General features: G+C 40.7%; 1 protein-coding gene across 11 annotated transcripts in view; it reads left to right on the top strand.

Moving 5' to 3' along the window:
- The window catches only part of ADAMTS6 (ADAM metallopeptidase with thrombospondin type 1 motif 6), a 333,183-nt gene that overhangs the window by 297,089 nt on the left and 15,161 nt on the right, over window positions 1-20,933 (top strand). For 10 of the 11 annotated variants that reach the window (NR_135689.2, XM_011543117.3, NM_197941.4 and 7 more), the window contains 2 exons: window positions 11,824-12,000; window positions 14,059-14,215. Coding sequence is in view for 9 of the 11 variants with exons in the window: in XM_011543117.3 (XP_011541419.1) it covers window positions 11,824-12,000; window positions 14,059-14,215 (334 nt within the window). In the remaining 2 variants the exon portion in view is untranslated. Of the gene's footprint in view, window positions 1-11,823; window positions 12,001-14,058; window positions 14,216-20,933 lie in introns of those variants that run through there. The other variant, XR_007058575.1, reaches the window with a different exon arrangement.

The following is a 20,933-nucleotide window of genomic DNA, read 5'->3' as shown; positions in this document are numbered from 1 at the left end:
TACTTATGGCAAAAGGAAAAAAAAAAAAGTTAAATTACCTTGGCGGAAAATGGCTCATCAGCAGCCTTTTCTGGAACTAATGAAGCCACAGCTTTCGCATATCCTATAATCTATACTTGGGATCACCCAGGCTATTTGGACTTTACATAGTTTTCTGTTTTTGCCCTCACTGGGCAAGTAGCTCTTGAAAGCATTGCTGCATACTGTGGATGGGGTCCAGCAGCCCTAACCCATGCTTTTGATGTATCAAAATGGTTTATTTGACTCCTATAGAATAATGCCCATTGAAAAAGATACATTTCTTATACTTACTCTTGGACAAGTGGGTAACTGGCATCTTACTCAACTGACTTTATAGTACGTATGTTTAGATAGCATTACTTACGGAAGATGGGGAAAATCTACCTACAAGGGACTGTGTTTTGTTTGATAAGACAATTGTGTCAGCACCTTGCATACTCCTAGGTTCTACTCTGGTCCTTTGACTAAGTAATTTAAACCCATCTCTCCAGGGAGAACTCAGTGTAACCCCGAAATGTTGATGTTTCTGTCCTTTACAAGTGAGGGCCAAATTGTTTTCCCTGGTTGGTTTCAAATACTTTTTCTGCAAAATATATTTTTGCTTCTTCTTAATCATGGAACATTAAGCTGAAGCATAAATGCATCCCTCATAAAAGTCACCTCCTGTGTCACTGAGATGAAAACAAAAAACAGAAGGTCTGGTCGGATTTTAAATGATCATGAGATTCTAATTATATGAATAAAGAGGAAAAAATAGGCATTTACCCACATAAGGAGAAATAATGAGAAATAATTTTACTAAAGAATAGACTGACCACTAGTCTTCTAAATTTTATAATATCTTCTACCCTGCTACCTAAAGGTTTATTATGAGAAAGAATGAGATGAATTTTGATGTTTATAACTATTCTTTGATCTAAAAAAATTATTATTGAACTAAATATCCCAATTTCTAATTATTACTAATAGATTTTAATGCACACTCAAAAGTTACGCAAAAACATACTCTTTGCATGGGTATAGGCTAATGATTATCTCTGGAGACTGCTCCGAAGCATTCATAATTAAATTAATGTCTATACATTACATAACATACATGTCTATACATACGTAACCGTGGCTCATCTTGCTTTTCTAGAAATTTTTATTTTTTTATTTTTATTTTTATCTTTTACATAGCTAAGTAAAACAGAGGACTTCAGATGGACAAACACATTGATAGTAGTCCCCCCTTATCCACAGGGGACATGTTCCAAGACCCCCAGTCGATACCTGAAACTGCAGATAGTACTGAACCTTATATATACTATATACTTTTTTCCTATCTATACAAACCTATAATAAAGTTTAATTTATAAATTAGGCACAATAAGAGATTAACAATAATAATAATAAAATTAAAATATTATAACAGCATACTGTAAAAAGAGTTCCGTGAATGTAACGTCTCTTTCAAAATATCTTTCTATACTGTACTCATCTATTTTCAGACTTCAGTTGATTGTTGGCAACTGAAACTGGAAAATGAAACTGTGGATAAGGAAGGGATTCTGTATTTATCAGTAGGGTAAAGAGGGAAAAATGAAATTTAGGCTCAAGAAAGCAGAAGGAATAAGTAAATATAAAAACAAACTGAGGACTTCTCTGCTTGAACATCTCTGACATAAGGTCAGAAGGACTTGCTAGAGTTCTACTTAAATGAACCAGGTTAAAGTGGCATTTCTGTGCCTTTACTATTTTTACAAGCAATTTTTAAACATTTAATTTTATAATCACCTGTAAGAAGTACAATATTTGCAGAGAACAGAGTTGAGACTCTGGCTGTAGACATGTAATATTTGTGGCTGGATCTGCAGGGTTCAGGTGTAGTGTATTCACTGAGTAACAAATGTGACAGCAATGTAGTTTTCAGTCATTCACTGTCTTGAAAATCTGGTTGATTTTCAGTCATTTTCTTGAAAATATGGTTGAAAATCTCTGTACCTCTGTTACTATAAGATAAAATATCCTTGGCTAAAATGGTGAATTTTGAGGTGTAATTTTTCTAAAATGATTTCTTGCCTAAGTAAATGTCATTATGTGTTTAGCTTTACACATAACTGCACATTGTTCTACAGAGGGTTAGTCTTTGTGCATGTATCTTTCAGAGCTTTATTTTTAGTAGGAAACTGCCATCAGGATTTGTTTCTACCTCTTAGCATTTCAGTTTCCACACCTGTAAAATGGATATGTAACAGTACTCACTTCATGGAGTTTCTATGAGGATTAGGTAGATTATTACATGCCAAGGATTTAGAACACTACTTGACACAATAAATATTGTGCTGCTATGTCTTCTCATCCTTCTTTTTTTTTTTTTTTTTTTTTGAGATGGAGTCTCGCTCTGTCACCCAGGCTGGAGTGTAGTGGCACGGTCTCGATTCACTGCAGTCTCTGCCTCCTGGGTTCAAGCAATTCTCTTCCTACCAAATAGCTAGGAGTACAGGCACGTGCCACCACACCTGGCTAATTTTTTTTTGTATTTTTAGTAGAGACAGGGTTTTGCTATGTTGGCCAGGCTGTGGTCTCAAACTCCTGACCTCATGATCCACCCACCTCAGCCTCCCAAAGTGCTGGGATTCACAGGCGTGAGCCACCGCACCCAGGCTTATCCTTCTTATTATCAGTCATATCTGGTTTGGTTTTGGTTTGGGTTTCCTGGGGACTTCTCAGATGGAGATGAATGAATTGTCTTTCTTCGCATTCTTCATCTCCCCTAATTGTAAGCACGACCTGGCATATGATTTTAGGAAAGGCAGCTAGATACTACTACATTCTTAAAATAATAACAGAAGCTTCTTGCCACTGGAAAAAGTTATTAGAATAAACAAGAGATGTATGTCCCAGACTTTAATATGCATACACATGATTTTAAAATGTGAAGGAGGCAGGGGAGTGGCACAAGTGCATTTTTCAATGAATGCTTCCGTTAGAAAACTAATCATAGCCTCGAAATACAAAAACTGAGTTCCGTATACATCCTATATGTTTTTGCCTAGCATGTGGATGAAGTGGCCTTGTATCCTCTTGGACTTCACCTCAACTTATTCTTACAATAATTCATATTTACTATGTATTGTCATGAGTTTGTTTCTGCCAATACTAAGAGCAGCCTGTGAATACAATAATAACAGAGAAATGGATAATGAGTAGGCCCTAAAGTATGGGTCACAAGGCCTAGGATTTAGTTCCAGCTTTACCATTTGCTGTTTATCCTTAATGAAGTCTCTTAAGCTTTCCTCATCTATAATAATTCTTAAAAATTTGTTTAATAATGTTTAATATTTGAAAATATTTTCTGAACTGTTCATCTTTAATGAAATGTAAAGTAGTATAGTAGTGTTTTTGTTACCAGTGATAATATTAAGCTTTAAGAGAGTGGCAGAAATCCTCTTAAGTCTTTGGTTTGAACAGTGGAGGAGACTTGGCATGAAGCGAAGAGGATTAAAACAAGTGGAACAAGTTCAAGAGATAGAAATGGACTCGACACAAGTGAGGCAAGCTCAAAGACTTGGATTAGGTCTTTATTCATTCTACAGAAATTATTGCATGCCTTGGTTTCTTGAAATATAAGTGATTGTTGTATTAAATTAGACAATACATATAAAGTACATAGTACAGTGCCTGACATCCAGAAAACACTTAGTAAGAATTAGTATTAGAATGGCTCCACCATTTAATATATATGTGACTTTTTACCAGTCACTCTAAGTTTGTTTTCTCATTTTAAAAACAGAATAATAATTGCCACCTCATAGGAGAGTTGTAAGGACTATATAAATTATAGCATTTAGCACACTTGGTATATACAGTATTTATTAAATGACAGATGCTATTAGTGGCAGTAGTAGTAGTAGTTACTGTAGCTGCAACAGCAACACTATTTGCTTTGTGCCTGACACTGGGCTAGCACTGGAGAATATTGGAAATTATTTTATATGGCTGACATATAGAGAGATGAGCCTCAAGAGGTAAGTAGAGCCTTACTACTGTGGGGTACTAAGCATATATAGAGTTTGAATTTTTATCTTGAAGGCAATAGTAAGCCATTAAGGGATTTTTTTTTTAAATCAAAATGCAGTATAATTGGATTTGTGCTTTAGAAAGATCCCTCTGACTAAAGTTTAGGGAGTGGATTTGAGTGAGGCAAGAGGAGGAAACAGGAGACCTACTAGAAAGCCATTACAAAATTTCATATGGGAAATGATGTTTGTCTGAAGTAAGGTTAGTGGCAGTAGAGATGGAGAGAAATCAACAGGTGTGAGACAGATTTTGGAGTTGGATTAATAAGATCTAGTGATGGATTGTAGGGGTAGAGTGAGGCAGCACCAGGTTATGAGGATATTGATTTGGCTATGAAAAGGAATAAAAGGAATCAGGAATTTCTCTCTTGATCTTCACTCCCTAACTAAAGCCTCTTCTCGAGCTACACTGAAAAAATTGTGTTATCCCCTTTCAAAATGCATCTTAATGAAACCTTTTCTAAGTTGGAGGAAATGCATTCTGTGATTATATTCATTGTGATAAAGAGTTTGCATTGAATCATTGATGTTCATCTGAAAAATTTGTTAATATTTTTCTGTCTTTCTATGACATACTCCAGGCTCAAAGATTGCCCCTAACAAAATCCATGTGTGTACATGTGCACGGTGTTCACCTAGATAGCCTCATCCACAACTAGTACATCTTGATTTACCTAATGGTAAATCAAAATTGTCACCTTTCCAGATAAAGAAGAGCATATATTTATCAAGTGTTTACTCAGAGTCCTCAGCTGGCTCCTGGGGGATGTGTGTGTGTGTGTGTGTGTGTGCGCGTGCGTGCACATGTGTGTGTTTGCATGCACACAAGCATGCAAAGATGAAACAAATGGAGTAATTTTAAGGAGCTTATAATCTAATAGAGATGAAAAGACATGTAAATACATAATTATAAAACAGGCTGATGGTGTTAGGGACACGATAATTTATGTGTTCTACATCCACTTATATGGTACTTTTAACATTAATCTGTGTTTCCATGTCTGTCTCCTAAATAAGACTCTGAGCTCCTTGAGGGTAGAGACTATTTCATTCATTTTTTTTTTCTGAAGGTGGACAGGATTCTTTTTATTTTTTATCCAAGTAGCCTAAATGACAAAAGACCAGTATCCGCATTCATTTCCACACAGTCCTAATTCATGACAAATGTACTTATTTTCTGCCATATAGCCTCTTTCCTAATTAAGAGAACCACATCCTATTCCTAAGTTATTACTATTAATGACAGCACAGGTATCAAACTTCAAGGTGACTTGTTTGGGCACCCCTTTTTCTTTTGTTTTGGCTAACACCTTACTTGTATCATTTATGAGCCCCCACCAGTCCTCAGTCCTTAATCTTATTTCACAAACTATGGTCATGGGAGGCTCAGATGGGTCATAACACACATCAGGTTGGTCATTTCCTGGGCTACATACCTTGTATAGAATAGTATTATACAAACAAGTTCTTTTTAGAGTCCTGGTACACTTATAATAACCATAAAATAATAGGACTGTAGCAACTTTTTGTCCTACCTCAGTGACTTGATGTATACACTGGAAACAGTCCTCAGTCTGAGGAAGGTCAGTTGAAGTCCTTACTGTACAAGTCCAAATTTTAAGGAAAATGAGTCCCGTGATGAGTTTTCTCATGCTTCGGCCATGCGTGGACCAGTCAGCTTCCGGGTGTGACTGGAGCAGGGCTTGTCATCCTTTTCAGAGTCACTTTGTAGGCGTTAGCGAAGCTCCCGTCCACGTACAGCTCACAGTCTACTGATGTTCAAGGATGGTCTCGGAGGTTGAGCCTGCTAGAATAAACTGAGTCCAACACCTCTACACAGTTATGTTCAACTGGGCTCTCTGATACCGGGAGCAAGGTGGTGGGGTTTAGGGTGTTGCAAACTTCAGTGGTTATGCGGGGATTTTCATATAGCAAGCTTTGGTACTTGGTTAATCTGGCATTTGTTAACCAATGATGTCCTTTGATAGTCATTAAAGTTACCACAGTATGGGGGGCCTTTATATTCAGGTTTTGCCCAAGGGTTAGTTTATCTGCTTCTTGTGCTAACAGGACCATTGCTGCCAGGGCCCTTAGACATGGGGCCAGGCTTTGGAAACCCCATCTAGTTGTTTTGAGAGATAGGCCACTGGCCTTGGCCAGGGCCCCACAGTTTGGGTTAAAACTCCAGCTGCCATTTTTTTCTCTTTCTGACACATAGGGTGTAAAGGGTTTTGACAGTTCAGGTAGCCCCAGGGCTGGGGCCGACATGAGTTTTTCTTTTAACTCATGAAAAGCTTGTTGCTATTGGTTATAATAGATGTAGTTTATCCAATCTACATTTTTATTAACTGTCACCCACCAAAATATTGACTCAAATCCTGCCTCTATTTGATTTCAAGCTTTAAATTGATGTGGTATTCCCCGTGGGACTCCAATTGCGTCTAAATAGACGTGAGAGTTGAAAGACCCATAAGGGGCTTTCTCGCACGATGTCTTATTTTTCCTCCCTCTGATTGATGAAATGTCAGGGTGAAAGGGATAGCTAATTGGACTAAAATACAAGTGCCACTCCAGTTATTCAGCAGAGTGCCCAGTAAAGGTCCACCACAATACCATCACACATCCGCTCGGGGATGAACAAGAGCTGACTGATTGATAAGCTCTTGACAATTCTTAAGCTCACTGCATCCCTTCAGGTCTCCAAGGAAGCTAAGTTTCCTCCCTGTCGTGAGAGACACGAAGTGAACTTAGTGTTGGAAGAGGGAGGCTGGATGGCCCTCGGGGACTGACCTGCAAGGTGCTGGACATTGGGATATAGCAGAGAGAGCTTGGCACGACTTATTACTCCAGGTTGTGGAATCCTGGAAGAGAGCTACCATGCAGCCCACGCCTGGTCGACTGGAGGACCACCTTAGTGGAAAGGGGACAGTCTGGGCCTCTGGCCTGCCATGTGCACAAGCATAATAATTGCTTTTGTTTAACGTGCAGATGGAATATTTGATCGACTCCAACCAGGCATTTGCATCTTGGTATCCTGTTTTAATTGCCAAAGTTTGTTTTAAGTCTTTAACTTTTATGATCCTCGAGTAAAATGAATGTACGATTTTAGGAAATTACAAAAACTGGTTGGGGCAGTCCATCCTTGCTCTTTAGTGGTCCACAGAATGTTGGACCAACTACAGCATAAAAGCTCTACATTGGGGGGCAAGAATCCTGGTTGACACTAGGGTCTTTATCAAAATTTCCCTGGATTAAATGGTCCTAATTTACTAATGCCCAGTCTGAGAAGAGTCAGGAGGGACAGAGGTACTTTTCTGAAGTAGAGAGCTGTCTTTGACTTGGCAGGTCCCCACAGGGTATAACAAGGCAAGCATTAAATGCAATAGTTTGAGGCGAAATTGACTTGGTTATGTTAATAACTAGATGGTCAGCAATAGAGCGAGGGAAGAAGAAAGAGTAATAGAATAGATGAAAGAGTTAAATTTTTCTTAGCTTTAGTTTGATAAGGTTTTCCCCTGGGACTGTGGCCCACGACTCTGGAGGTGGGGGCGCTTTGACTCGGGTGTGATGAGTCCATCCCTTTTCCGCTCTACGAACGGCAGTCTCAGTGGTTAACAGCACAAGGTAGGGTCCTTCTGAGGCTGGCTTGAGTTTTTCTTCTTTCCACCCTTTGATGAGAAGGTGATCTTCAGGCTGGTGCTGGTTTACTGGAAATTCTAGGGGTGGTACCTGTGCTAAAAGACTTTTAGTTTTGAGGGAAAGGAAAGTGGAAGATAAACCAAGTATATAATTTCTAAGAAATTGACCTTTTGTTTTAAATGTGGGGACATCAGCAGTGGACTTTATTGTCCTTGGTGCCTTCCTACTGAGAAATTTCCTTTAGCACCTATTTTTATTAGTTTTTAGACCAAAGAAGCCAAACACCATTTTATATCTGACAGTGCTTCCTGTATGATTTTTATACCAGATAAGCTAAATTTCACCTTTTACTGTGCTATTACTGTGCTATTAATGTTAAACTTAGTTTTAATAAACTTTGTAGACATTTATTCAATTTTTAATGTCAGACCATAAGGTAAGATTTTTATAGACTCTTTTTAACCTTTTATAATCTTTGTTAAAGAGCAGGTTAGTGCTTTAAGAAAAACCCATTGTGTTTTTACTTTAATGTCCAGTTCACAGAAAAACTGGATGATACCCCTTTAACTTTAGCCAATATGTTTACACACAGAATTTTCTTTACAATTAACGTTTTAAAACTTGCTTAAATCTTCAAAACAATATATACTTTTTAACCTTTTAATGTAGGTAAAAATTTACATTGTTATGCCTCCTTATAATCCTTTTACCAAAGGTATATTTTACTTTCCTTATACAACTTGCACATAAACTGTTTTGTTTTACATTCAGGAGGCCTAGTTACTTTTAAATTATACAACATTTCTTGCATAAATTCTTTTTTTAATAACATTTTTTTCTTTCACGACTTTCGCAGACAATTTTTCGACATGCCTCAACTTTCTGACTTATTACAAACATTTATTTCTTTAAATAACCAGTTAATTTATTTCAGGACAAGAACTTCCCATATAACACTCTTTTTACATAAATTCTGCCCCCCCCTTTTTTTCCCTTTTTTTTCCGAAGATGATAACCATTCTTTTCCAAAGCGAACTTCTTTTATGTCTGTGGACTAGACTGTCTTAAGGCCACAGGATTAGAAGTTACCATAATACATGTTACACTGTTAACTTTTAGCAAACTTTACTTTTGTTGAAAACCTTTTAAGTTTGGGATTTCAATTATCCTTTGCTATTAATAAGACCTTGTTCAGTCCAAATTAACTTAGAATTGGTATAGATGTTTTTTTTTTTTTTCCTTCAATTACCTGGGAGGAACCATCGATTGTCCTGTCCTGAAGGGAGTTCCTCCTAGGTCTGGTCAGACCTTTGTATGGTAATTAAGATTTAGATCCCCTGTAAGGAAACCTGCTGGGTTAAGGGAATTTTCAGTGGTTAATGTTAAATCATCCTTTTTTTTTTTTCCTTAGGATACTTCTGAACTGGTGAGATGTGCTCACAATGAGGTTTCCTCTAAAAGTTATTTTTTTTACTTTCTTCTGTTAGCAAAGCAGTTGCCTACAGATTGAATGCTTCTGGGCCATCCACAGGTTACTGGGTTAAGGATTTTTGATAGGAAGTCCTCAGTGCTTTCGGGAATACGCCCTTGTTTACACTGACAACAAAGTGGTATTAGAGTGTTACAGGGTTACGGAGAATACCTTTAATTATCAATTATAGGTTTTAAATTTACCTTGGCTTTTAAAGGAATAGGGTACACTGTTTTTTTTTCCTTAACTTCTGGTATATTTCTCTCTTTCTCTCTTTCTTTCTCTCTTTGACTTTCTGTCTCTCTCTTTTTGACTTTGCTTTTGCCTCTGTCTCTTTCTGCCTCTCTGCCTCTCTCTTTCTCTCTCTCTCTCTCTCTCCTTGACTCCCTCTTTGTCTCTCTGTCTCTTCCTCTCTCTCTCTTTGCCCCTTTTTCTCTCTCTTTCCTCCTCTGTCTCTCTCTGCTGGTCTTTCCTTGTCTCTGCCAGCCACTTATGCTGCTGTTCTCTCAACCACTGGTGAGGGGGGTGTGGGGTCTAAAACCAGCTGTAACCAAGGGTCTATGTATGGGAACTCATCTGGGTGCCCTGGCTTACAGGTTACCTTGTGCCATACCTTTGAAACAAGGGACCTGTCCAGGCTTCCTTCTGATGGCCAACCCACCTCTAATGCTGGCCAGTCTATTTCACACAAAGTTCTAAGTTTTCCTGGTGTCATAGTAACACCATAATCTCCCTTAAATCCTTCCTTGAAATTTTTCAACATAGTTCCTAGTGGGGTGGGCTTACTTTGTGCCTGACCCATGCTTCTTCGAGACAAAACACCATGCTCACACCACAAAACAAAGAACGAGTAAAAAGGGCACACACACACACTTTTACAGTTTACACCAAACTCAGAATCAAAACCAAAATCAGAGTATCCAGAAATCCAAGCCAGGTCAAAAACAAAACCAAAGTATCAAGCAATCCAAGTCAAGTCAAAAACAAAAACCAAAGTGCCGGTACAGGCAGACCGTGGGTGATCAGGCCACGCTTCCACTCAAATGGAGTGGGCAAGTTCCAAAGACTAGTCTTACCAAGTTTCAGATGTCCAGACTCCAAGTGCCAGTTCCTTCCCGGTGTTCAGCCACTGCGTTGATCGTCCACGGGGGCCTGCCACGTGCTCCTCTGGCGAGGCGTTCCACCAGGCCAATTGCCTACCCAGGAGTGCTCTCAGGATCCGCATCGGCCAAGCTGGCTGGAGTGCCCCATAGGGATGCTCCACAGGGCAGGCCTAAGCCACCTAAGGGGCTGCCTCGACCGTCCGACTGTCTGTTAATCACCTCGCTTCCCGGTCAGGGAACCAAGAAATGTAGCAGAACAAGCCACGGGCAAAACCCCTCAGACACCGAGTTAAAGAAGGAAGGGCTTTATTCGGCCAGGAGCTTCAGCAAGACTCACGTCTCCAACAGCCGAGCTCCTATTTCATTCATTTTTATATCTCTCCAGTCTAGTGTAGTTCCTGTAGGAGATCTGGAAATGTTTCTCGTATGAAAGGTATATATACAGTGCTTCCAGATGTTGTGGGTAAGGTCCTCACTTGATTGAGGGGAAGGAAGTATAGATTTTTTTTTTTTTTTGAGACAGAATCTTGCTCTGTCTCTAGGCTGGAGTGCAGTGGTGCAATCTCGGCTCACTGCAACCTCCGCCTCCTGGTTCAAGCACTTCTCCTGCCTCAGCCTCCCAAGTAGCTGGGGCTACAGACACACACCACCACACCCAGCTAATTTTTGTATTTTTAGTAGAGACAGGGTTTCACCATGTTGGCCAGGATGGTCTTGATCTCTTGACCTCTTGATCTGCCCACCTCGGCCTCCCAAAGTGCTGGGATTACAGGCGTAAGCTGCCGTGCCTGGCCTGAATTACATATTTTAAGGAAGGGTCCAGACATACAGGGGAGAAAGCTGGAAGACTCAAGTCAGCTACCATGTTAAATAGGTGACTTCTAGAAACACCTGGAGATGAGGTACATAAGATTTGTGACATAGGGAAAAACATCCTTCCCTCAGTATGACGAACAAACAGACCCAGTTCTAAAGAACAACTTCCTTAGATTTGTAACTGATGGATGGGGAAAAGTCCAGAGATTTTCTGTGCAAGAAACCTTCACCTGTGACCAAGTATTCTTAGCGACCCGACATAAGAATAGTTTATCTAAATCAACCCTGAACTTGCTTCACAGACACAAGTTCTTTTGGTCTACTAATAACATACAAATTCCTTTTAGAAGACCACACCCACCAAGTAGGAAACGAAGGTTTCCACATTCCAAAAATTAGCAGAATCTTATCACAGCTGACGGGGCTAAGGATAGAGAGGAATAGAGGAATCAACCTATCCCCAATAGAGCAAGAAAATGAGTTAGCCAAGAAAAGCAAATGTTGGATTTAGCTCTTCAAGACCTTAAGAAAAAGATAAAAGTACCTCTGCTTCAAAACTTTTAAGGAACGTTGTATCTGAGAGACTTTGCCTAGAACTTAGTATATGTGTATATTCTATACTAAAACACACATTTACATGAAGAAAGACTTTCTTCAAATTTTCCTCTGTCTTTAAACTGTCGTGATTCATTACTATTTGTTTTATTTCCAGTGTACTCCAAAATGTGGTCCAGGATTCAAGCATCGGATTGTTCTGTGCAAGAGCAGTGACCTTTCTAAGACATTCCCAGCTGCACAATGTCCAGAGGAAAGCAAACCTCCTGTCCGCATCCGCTGCAGTTTGGGCCGCTGCCCTCCTCCTCGCTGGGTCACAGGAGACTGGGGCCAGGTAAGGCGTTTGTACTGTGGGCTCCTGCTGAAATAGCACCTTGAGACACAAACCTGAGGTTCCTTGTGTGATCATTGTAAGGGCTTGAGAGATGAGTAAGAATTAACACGTAGAAGTCTAAGTATGAGGCATGAGTGTGAAACAGTGCACAAACCACAGCCACCACATGTGGACACATACAGAGTGAGCCAGTGATTCTCCCACACCCACACACTTCCCACTTCAGATTCTATTCTTCAGATCCATTGTGGTTAAAATTAAAAGAGAAATAGAATAACCGATAGAGATCTGAACAAGCTACCAAAACTTTGGATTCTAGTCCCAGCTGTCAACTGAAAAGGAACAAATCAGTTAACAGCAGTGTCTTCATTTTCCCACTTGCAAAATAGAGATAATTACTCTTTTTTTTTTTTCTTTTGAGATGGAGTCTCACTCTGTCGCTCAGGCTGGAGTGCAGTGGCGCGATCTCGGCTCACTGCAAGCTCTGCCTCCTGGGTTCAGGCCATCCTCCTGCCTCAGCCTCCCGAGTAGCTGGGACTACAGGTGCCTGCCACTACGCCCAGCTAATTTTTTGTATTTTTAGTAGAGACAGGGACTCACCATCTTAGCCAGGATGGTCTCGATCTCCTGACCTCGTGATCCGCCCGCCTCGGCCTCCCAAAGTGCTGGGATTACAGGTGTGAGCCACCGCGCCTGGCCAAAAATATATATATTTTTAAGGCTCTTCATGAATATCCTTACAAGTCCTGTGGGTGCTTTCAGAGTTTTTGCAAACAAATCCAACAGGGCTTCAATGTGTTGACCCTGTAAACATCACCATCCCCTGTGTTGGCACCAGTTACTTCCTCATGCCTTTGATTCCAAATTTCATAGGCTTTCTGGTATTCTCGATGGCAGGCCCATAGATTAACCCAGCTTCATTCTTCAGCCTCAGCAGCTGATCAGTCCCAAGTGAAACTAAGCCTCTCGGACAGTAACTTCAGTTCTGAAGTGACTGAATCCCAGAGTAGATGCAAAAGGAGAGGGAGACACGCTCATTTGAGAACACAGACTACTTCTCAGGTTTGTGTGGCTGGCAATCCCTTAGAAAACCTGAGGGACTTATTTAAGCTCTTTTTTTTTTTAAATGACCCCATCACCAGGCTCCACGCCTGTCACTGCTATTACACTGAACTAATAGTTTAATCACATACAGGACACTCCAATAAGCCATCAGGTTATTTACCTGCACACCTATAATAAATAGGGAGCAATAGTGATTTCCTAGCCCTACAATCTCTCATTATTCTACTTCATCACAAGGATTTTCTCATGACACTCCTGCTAGAGTTCACCAGCCTTGCCGGGAATTGTTGGAGTGATAGCAAGAAATCTCTATGTATTATCTTCTGGGAAGTATATTGAGTCTGTTTGCTAGGGTAATAACATGATCTTTGACTTTCCAAACCAGTTTGATAGTAGAATGACCTAATCATACACCTCTCAAAAATGAACCACATGTGGGCTTTAAAAGTTAATATTGTGGCCAGGCGCGATGGCTCACACCTGTAATCCCAGGATTTTGGGAGGCTGAGGCGGGCAGATCACGAGGTCAGGAGATTGAGACCATGCTGGCTAAGATGGTGAAACCCCGTCTCTACTAAAAATACAAAAAATTAGCCGGATGTGGTGGCGGGTGCCTGTAGTCCCAGCTACTCGGGAGGCTGAGGCAGGAGAATGGTGTGAACCCGGGAGGCAGAGCTTGCAGTGGGTTGAGATTGTGCCACTGCACTCCAGCCTGAGCGACAGAGCGAGACTCTGTCTCAAAAAAAAAAAAAATTAATATTGTGGCTGGGCGTGGTGGCTCATGCCTGTAATCCCAGCACTTTGGGAGGCCAAGGCAGGAGGATTGCTTGAGGTCAGGTTCGAGACCAGCCTGGCCAACATAGCAAGACGCTGTGTCTCAAAAGAAAAAAAAAAAAGTTCATATTGTGTTGTATTTGAAATGACATAGTATATTTTTTACCTCCTGAAAATTGTTGAGATTAATATTTTGTTTCTTTGTGTCTTTGGATTTAGTGTTCTGCTCAGTGTGGCCTTGGACAGCAGATGAGAACTGTGCAGTGTCTCTCCTACACCGGACAGGCATCTAGTGACTGTCTAGAAACTGTTCGGCCTCCATCAATGCAGCAGTGTGAAAGCAAATGTGACAGTACCCCCATTTCTAATACTGAAGGTGAGTTTTCCATGGAGGAGGGGCCTGTGGTTTCTAATGACCCACCTTTACTGTTCCCAGGGTCTGAAGAGCACAGTAAACCCACTACTGTAGTGTAGTTTGAGTAGAGCATTTGTGAAAGCTGCTTATATGCAGACAGCAATCAGGAAACCCAAGTTTTTTCCTGACTTTTTAAGTAACTTTATGACCTTGTTAAGTCACTTAACCTCTCTGGAGCTAAGTTTATCTATAAAATAAGAAATTGGAGTAGATAATCTCTAAGATCATATCCAGCCTTGTATTCTAAGTTTGATTTATAGTAGGACTTTAGAGCTGTTTCCTAATGAACTACTCTTGAAGTGCAAACTTCTGTTTCTTTTTGGATATGACAGTGGATCTCTATCATTCTGAAGATTTAAATTCATTCTTGTTATACATATAATGAAAGCATATGTTTGAAACTACTTGCATTTTAAATGCTAATTTTCTTATCGTAGAAAAGTAGAAAAATAATTATGTAGCTGTTTATAAAGGTGGACAAAGTTCTTTGTGCTCTGGAATTTCTCTTTCTGTTTTGTTTTTGTTTTTGTTTTTGTTTTTAATTATACTTTAAGTTTTAGGGTACATGTGCACATTGTGCAGGTTAGTTACATATGTATACATGTGCCATGCTGGTGCGCTGCACCCACTAACTCATCATCTAGCATTAGGTATATCTCCCAATGCTATCCCTCCCCCCTCCCCCCTCCCCACCACAGTCCCCAGAGTGTGATATTCCCCTTCCTGTGTCCATGTGATCTCATTGTTCAATTCCCACCTATGAGTGAGAATATGCAGTGTTTGGTTTTTTGATCTTGCGATAGTTTACTGAGAATGATGGTTTCCAATTTCATCCATGTCCCTACAAAGGACATGAACTCATCATTTTTTATGTCTGCATAGTATTCCATGGTGTATATGTGCCACATTTTCTTAATCCAGTCTATCATTGTTGGACATTTGGGTTGGTTCCAAGTCTTTGCTATTCTGAATAATGCCGCAATAAACATACGTGTGCATGTGTCTTTATAGCAGCATGATTTATAGTCATTTGGGTATATACCCAGTAATGGGATGGCTGGGTCAAATGGTATTTCTAGTTCTAGATCCCTGAGGAATCGCCACACTGACTTCCACAATGGTTGAACTAGTTTACAGTCCCACCAACAGTGTAAAAGTGTTCCTATTTCTCCACATCCTCTCCAGCAGCTGTTGTTTCCTGACTTTTTAATGATTGCCATTCTAACTGGTGTGAGATGATATCTCATAGTGGTTTTGATTTGCATTTCTCTGATGGCCACTGATGATGAGCATTTTTTCATGTGTTTTGTGGCTGCATAAATGTCTTCTTTTGAGAAGTGTCTGTTCATGTCCTTTGCCCACTTTTTGATGGGGTTGTTTGTTTTTTTCTTGTAAATTTGTTTGAGTTCATTGTAGATTCTGGATATTAGCCCTTTGTCAGATGAGTAGGTTGCGAAAATTTTCTCCCATGTTGTAGGTTGCCTGTTCACTCTGATGGTAGTTTCTTTTGCTGTGCAGAAGCTCTTTAGTTTAATTAGATCCCATTTGTCAATTTTGGCTTTTGTTGCCATTGCTTTTGGTGTTTTGGACATGAAGTCCTTGCCCACGCCTATGTCCTGAATGGTAACGCCTAGGTTTTCTTCTAGGGTTTTTATGGTTTTAGGTCTAACGTTTAAATCTTTAATCCATCTTGAATTGATTTTTGTATAAGATGTAAGGAAGGGATCCAGTTTCAGCTTTCTACATATGGCTAGCCAGTTTTCCCAGCACCATTTATTAAATAGGGAATCCTTTCCCCATTGCTTGTTTTTCTAAGGTTTGTCAAAGATCAGATAGTTGTAGGTAAGCGGCGTTATTTCTGAGGGCTCTGTTCTGTTCCATTGATCTATATCTCTGTTTTGGTACCAGTACCATGCTGTTTTGGTTACTGTAGCCTTGTAGTATAGTTTGAAGTCAGGTAGTGTGATGCCTCCAGCTTTGTTCTTTTGGCTTAGGATTGACTTGGCGATGCGGGCTCTTTTTTGGTTCCATATGAACTTTAAAGTAGTTTTTTCCAATTCTGTGAAGAAAGTCATTGGTAGCTTGATGGGGATGGCATTGAATCTGTAAATTACCTTGGGCAGTATGGCCATTTTCACGATATTGATTCTTCCTATCCATGAGCATGGAATGTTCTTCCATTTGTTTGTATCCTCTTTTATTTCCTTGAGCAGTGGTTTGTAGTTCTCCTTGAAGAGGTCCTTCACATCCCTTGTGAGTTGCATTCCTAGGTATTTTATTCTCTTTGAAGCAATTGTGAATGGGAGTTCACTCATGATTTGGCTCTCTGTTTGTCTGTTGTTGGTGTATAGGAATGCTTGTGATTTTTGTACATTGATTTTGTATCCTGAGACTTTGCTGAAGTTGCTTATCAGCTTAAGGAGATTTTGGGCTGAGATGATGGGGTTTTCTAGATAAACAATCATGTCGTCTGCAAACAGGGACAATTTGACTTCCTCTTTTCCTAATTGAATATTCTTTATTTCCTTCTCCTGCCTGATTGCCCTGGCCAGAACTTCCAACACTATGTTGAATAGGAGCGGTGAGAGAGGGCATCCCTGTCTTGTGCCAGTTTTCAAAGGGAATGCTTCCAGTTTTTGCCCATTCAGTATGATATTGGCTGTGGGTTTGTCATAGATAGCTCTTATTATTTTGAAATACGTCCCATCAATACCTAATTTATTGAGAGTTTTTAGCATGAAGGGTTGTTGAATTTTGTCAAAGGCTTTTTCTGCATCTATTGAGATAATCATGTGGTTTTTGTCTTTGGCTCTGTTTATATGCTGGATTACATTTATTGATTTGCGTATATTGAACCAGCCTTGCATCCCAGGGATGAAGCCCACTTGGTCATGGTGGATAAGCTTTTTGATGTGCTGCTGGATTCGGTTTGCCAGTATTTTATTGAGGATTTTTGCATCAATGTTCATCAAGGATATTGGTCTAAAATTCTCTTTTTTGGTTGTGTCTCTGCCCGGCTTTGGTATCAGAATGATGCTGGCCTCATAAAATGAGTTAGGGAGGATTCCCTCTTTTTCTATTGATTGGAATAGTTTCAGAAGGAATGGTACCAGTTCCTCTGTGTACCTCTGGTAGAATTCGGCTGTGAATCCATCTGGTCCTGGACTCTTTTTGGTTGGTAAACTATTGATTATTGCCCCAATTTCAGCTCCTGTTATTGGTCTATTCAGAGATTCAACTTCTTCCTGGTTTAGTCTTGGGAGGGTGTATGTGTCGAGGAAGTTATCCATTTCTTCTAGATTTTCTAGTTTATTTGCGTAGAGGTGTTTGTAGTATTCTCTGATGGTAGTTTGTATTTCTGTGGGATCAGTGGTGATATCCCCTTTATCATTTTTTATTGTGTCTATTTGATTCTTCTCTCTTTTTTTCTTTATTAGTCTTGCTAGCAGTCTATCAATTTTGTTGATCCTTTCAAAAAACCAGCTCCTGGATTCATTGATTTTTTGAAGGGTTTTTTGTGTCTCTATTTCCTTCAGTTCTGCTCTGATTTTAGTTATTTCATGCCTTCTGCTAGCTTTTGAATGTGTTTGCTCTTGCTTTTCTAGTTCTTTTAATTGTGATGTTAGGGTGTCAATTTTGGATCTTTCCTGCTTTCTCTTGTGCGCATTTAGTGCTATAAATTTCCCTCTACACACTGCTTTGAATGCGTCCCAGAGATTCTGGTATGTTGTGTCTTTGTTCTCGTTGGTTTCAAAGAACATCTTTATTTCTGCCTTCATTTCGTTATGTACCCAGTAGTCATTCAGGAGCAGGTTGTTCAGTTTCCATGTAGTTGAGCGGCTTTGAGTGAGATTCTTAATCCTGAGTTCTAGTTTGATTGCACTGTGGTCTGAGAGACAGTTTGTTATAATTTCTGTTCTTTTACATTTGCTGAGGAGAGCTTTACTTCCAACTATGTGGTCAATTTTGGAATAGGTGTGGTGTGGTGCTGAAAAAAATGTATATTCTGTTGATTTGGGGTGGAGAGTTCTGTAGATGTCTATTAGGTCCGCTTGGTGCAGAGCTGAGTTCAATTCCTGGGTATCCTTGTTGACTTTCTGTCTCGTTGATCTGTCTAATGTTGACAGTGGGGTGTTAAAGTCTCCCATTATTAATGCGTGGGAGTCTAAGTCTCTTTGTAGGTCACTCAGGACTTGCTTTATGAATCTGGGTGCTCCTGTATTGGGTGCATATATATTTAGGATAGTTAGCTCCTCTTGTTGAATTGATCCCTTTACCATTATGTAATGGCCTTCTTTGTCTCTTTTGATCTTTGTTGGTTTAAAGTCTGTTTTATCAGAGACTAGGATTGCAACCCCTGCATTTTTTTGTTTTCCATTTGCTTGGTAGATCTTCCTCCATCCTTTTATTTTGAGCCTATGTGTGTCTCTGCACATGAGATGGGTTTCCTGAATACAGCACACTGATGGGTCTTGACTCTTTATCCAACTTGCCAGTCTGTGTCTTTTAATTGGAGAATTTAGTCCATTTACATTTAAAGTTAATATTGTTATGTGTGAATTTGATCCTGTCATTATGATGTTAGCTGGTTATTTTGTTCATTAGTTGATGCAGTTTCTTCCTAGTCTCGATGGTCTTTACATTTTGGCATGATTTTGCAGCGGCTGGTACCGGTTGTTCCTTTCCATGTTTAGCGCTTCCTTCAGGAGCTCTTTTAGGGCAGGCCTGGTGGTGACAAAATCGGTCAGCATTTGCTTGTCTGTAAAGTATTTTATTTCTCCTTCACTTATGAAGCTTAGTTTGGCTGGATATGAAATTCTGGGTTGAAAATTCTTTTCTTTAAGAATGTTGAATATTGGCCCCCACTCTCTTCTGGCTTGTAGGGTTTCTGCCGAGAGATCAGCTGTTAGTCTGATGGGCTTCCCTTTGAGGGTAACCCGACCTTTCTCTCTGGCTGCCCTTAACATTTTTTCCTTCATTTCAACTTTGGTGAATCTGACAATTATGTGTCTTGGAGTTGCTCTTCTCGAGGAGTATCTTTGTGGCGTTCTCTGTATTTCCTGAATCTGAACGTTGGCCTGCCTTGCTAGATTGGGGAAGTTCTCCTGGATAATATCCTGCAGAGTGTTTTCCAACTTGGTTCCATTCTCCGCATCACTTTCAGGTACACCAATCAGACGTAGATTTGGTCTTTTCACATAGTCCCATATTTCTTGGAGGCTTTGCTCATTTCTTTTTATTCTTTTTTCTCTAAACTTCCCTTCTCGCTTCATTTCATTCATTTCATCTTCCATTGCTGATACCCTTTCTTCCAGTTGATCGCATCGGCTCCTGAGGCTTCTGCATTCTTCACTTAGTTCTCGAGCCTTGGTTTTCAGCTCCATCAGCTCCTTTAAGCACTTCTCTGTATTGGTTATTCTAGTTATACATTCTTCTAAATTTTTTTCAAAGTTTTCAACTTCTTTGCCTTTGGTTTGAATGTCCTCCCGTAGCTCAGAGTAATTTGATCGTCTGAAGCCTTCTTCTCTCAGCTCGTCAAAATCATTCTCCATCCAGCTTTGTTCCATTGCTGGTGAGGAACTGCGTTCCTTTGGAGGAGGAGAGGCGCTCTGCGTTTTAGAGTTTCCAGTTTTTCTGTTCTGTTTTTTCCCCATCTTTGTGGTTTTATCTACTTTTGGTCTTTGATGATGGTGATGTACAGATGGGTTTTCAGTGTGGATGTCCTTTCTGTTTGTTAGTTTTCCTTCTAACAGACAGGACCCTCAGCTGCAGGTCTGTTGGAATACCCTGCAGTGTGAGGTGTCAGTGTGCCCCTGCTGGGGGGTGCCTCCCAGTTAGGCTGCTCGGGGGTCAGGGGTCAGGGACCCACTTGAGGAGGCAGTCTGCCCGTTCTCAGATCTCCAGCTGCGTGCTGGGAGAACCACTGCTCTCTTCAAGGCTGTCAGACAGGGACATTTAAGTCTGCAGAGGTTACTGCTGTCTTTTTGTTTGTCTGTGCCCTGCCCCCAGAGGTGGAGCCTACAGAGGCAGGCAGGCCTCCTTGAGCTGTGGTGGGCTCCACCCAGTTCGAGCTTCCCGGCTGCTTTGTTTACCTAAGCAAGCCTGGGCAATGGCGGGCGCCCCTCCCCCAGCCTCGCTGCCGCCTTGCAATTTGATCTCAGACTGCTGTGCTAGCAATCAGCGAGACTCCGTGGGCGTAGGACCCTCCGAGCCAGGTGCGGGATATAATCTCCTGGTGCGCCGTTTTTTAAGCCGGTCTGAAAAGCGCAATATTCGGGTGGGAGTGACCCGATTTTCCAGCTGCGTCCATCACCCCTTTCTTTGACTCGGAAAGGGAACTCCCTGACCCCTTGCGCTTCCCAGGTGAGGCAATGCCTCGCCCTGCTTCGGCTCGCGCACGGTGCGCGCACCCACTGGCCTGCGCCCACTGTCTGGCACTCCCTAGTGAGATTAACCCGGTACCTCAGATGGAAATGCAGAAATCACCCGTCTTCTGCGTCGCTCACGCTGGGAGCTGTTGACCAGAGCTGTTCCTATTCGGCCATCTTGGCTCCTCCCCCTCTGTCTGTTTTTTATTCATTGGGAAATCCCTTTATTAACAGCAGATGCCCCACCCCCCGGCCACAATCGTGACTTTTTAAAATCTGTTATTTAAATGAAAGTAATTTCTTTATTCTTT

This window comes from Homo sapiens, chromosome 5, assembly GCF_000001405.40.
Source record: "Homo sapiens chromosome 5, GRCh38.p14 Primary Assembly".
Taxonomy (NCBI): domain Eukaryota; kingdom Metazoa; phylum Chordata; class Mammalia; order Primates; family Hominidae; genus Homo; species Homo sapiens.
This window is presented reverse-complemented; position numbering and strand designations above follow the sequence as displayed.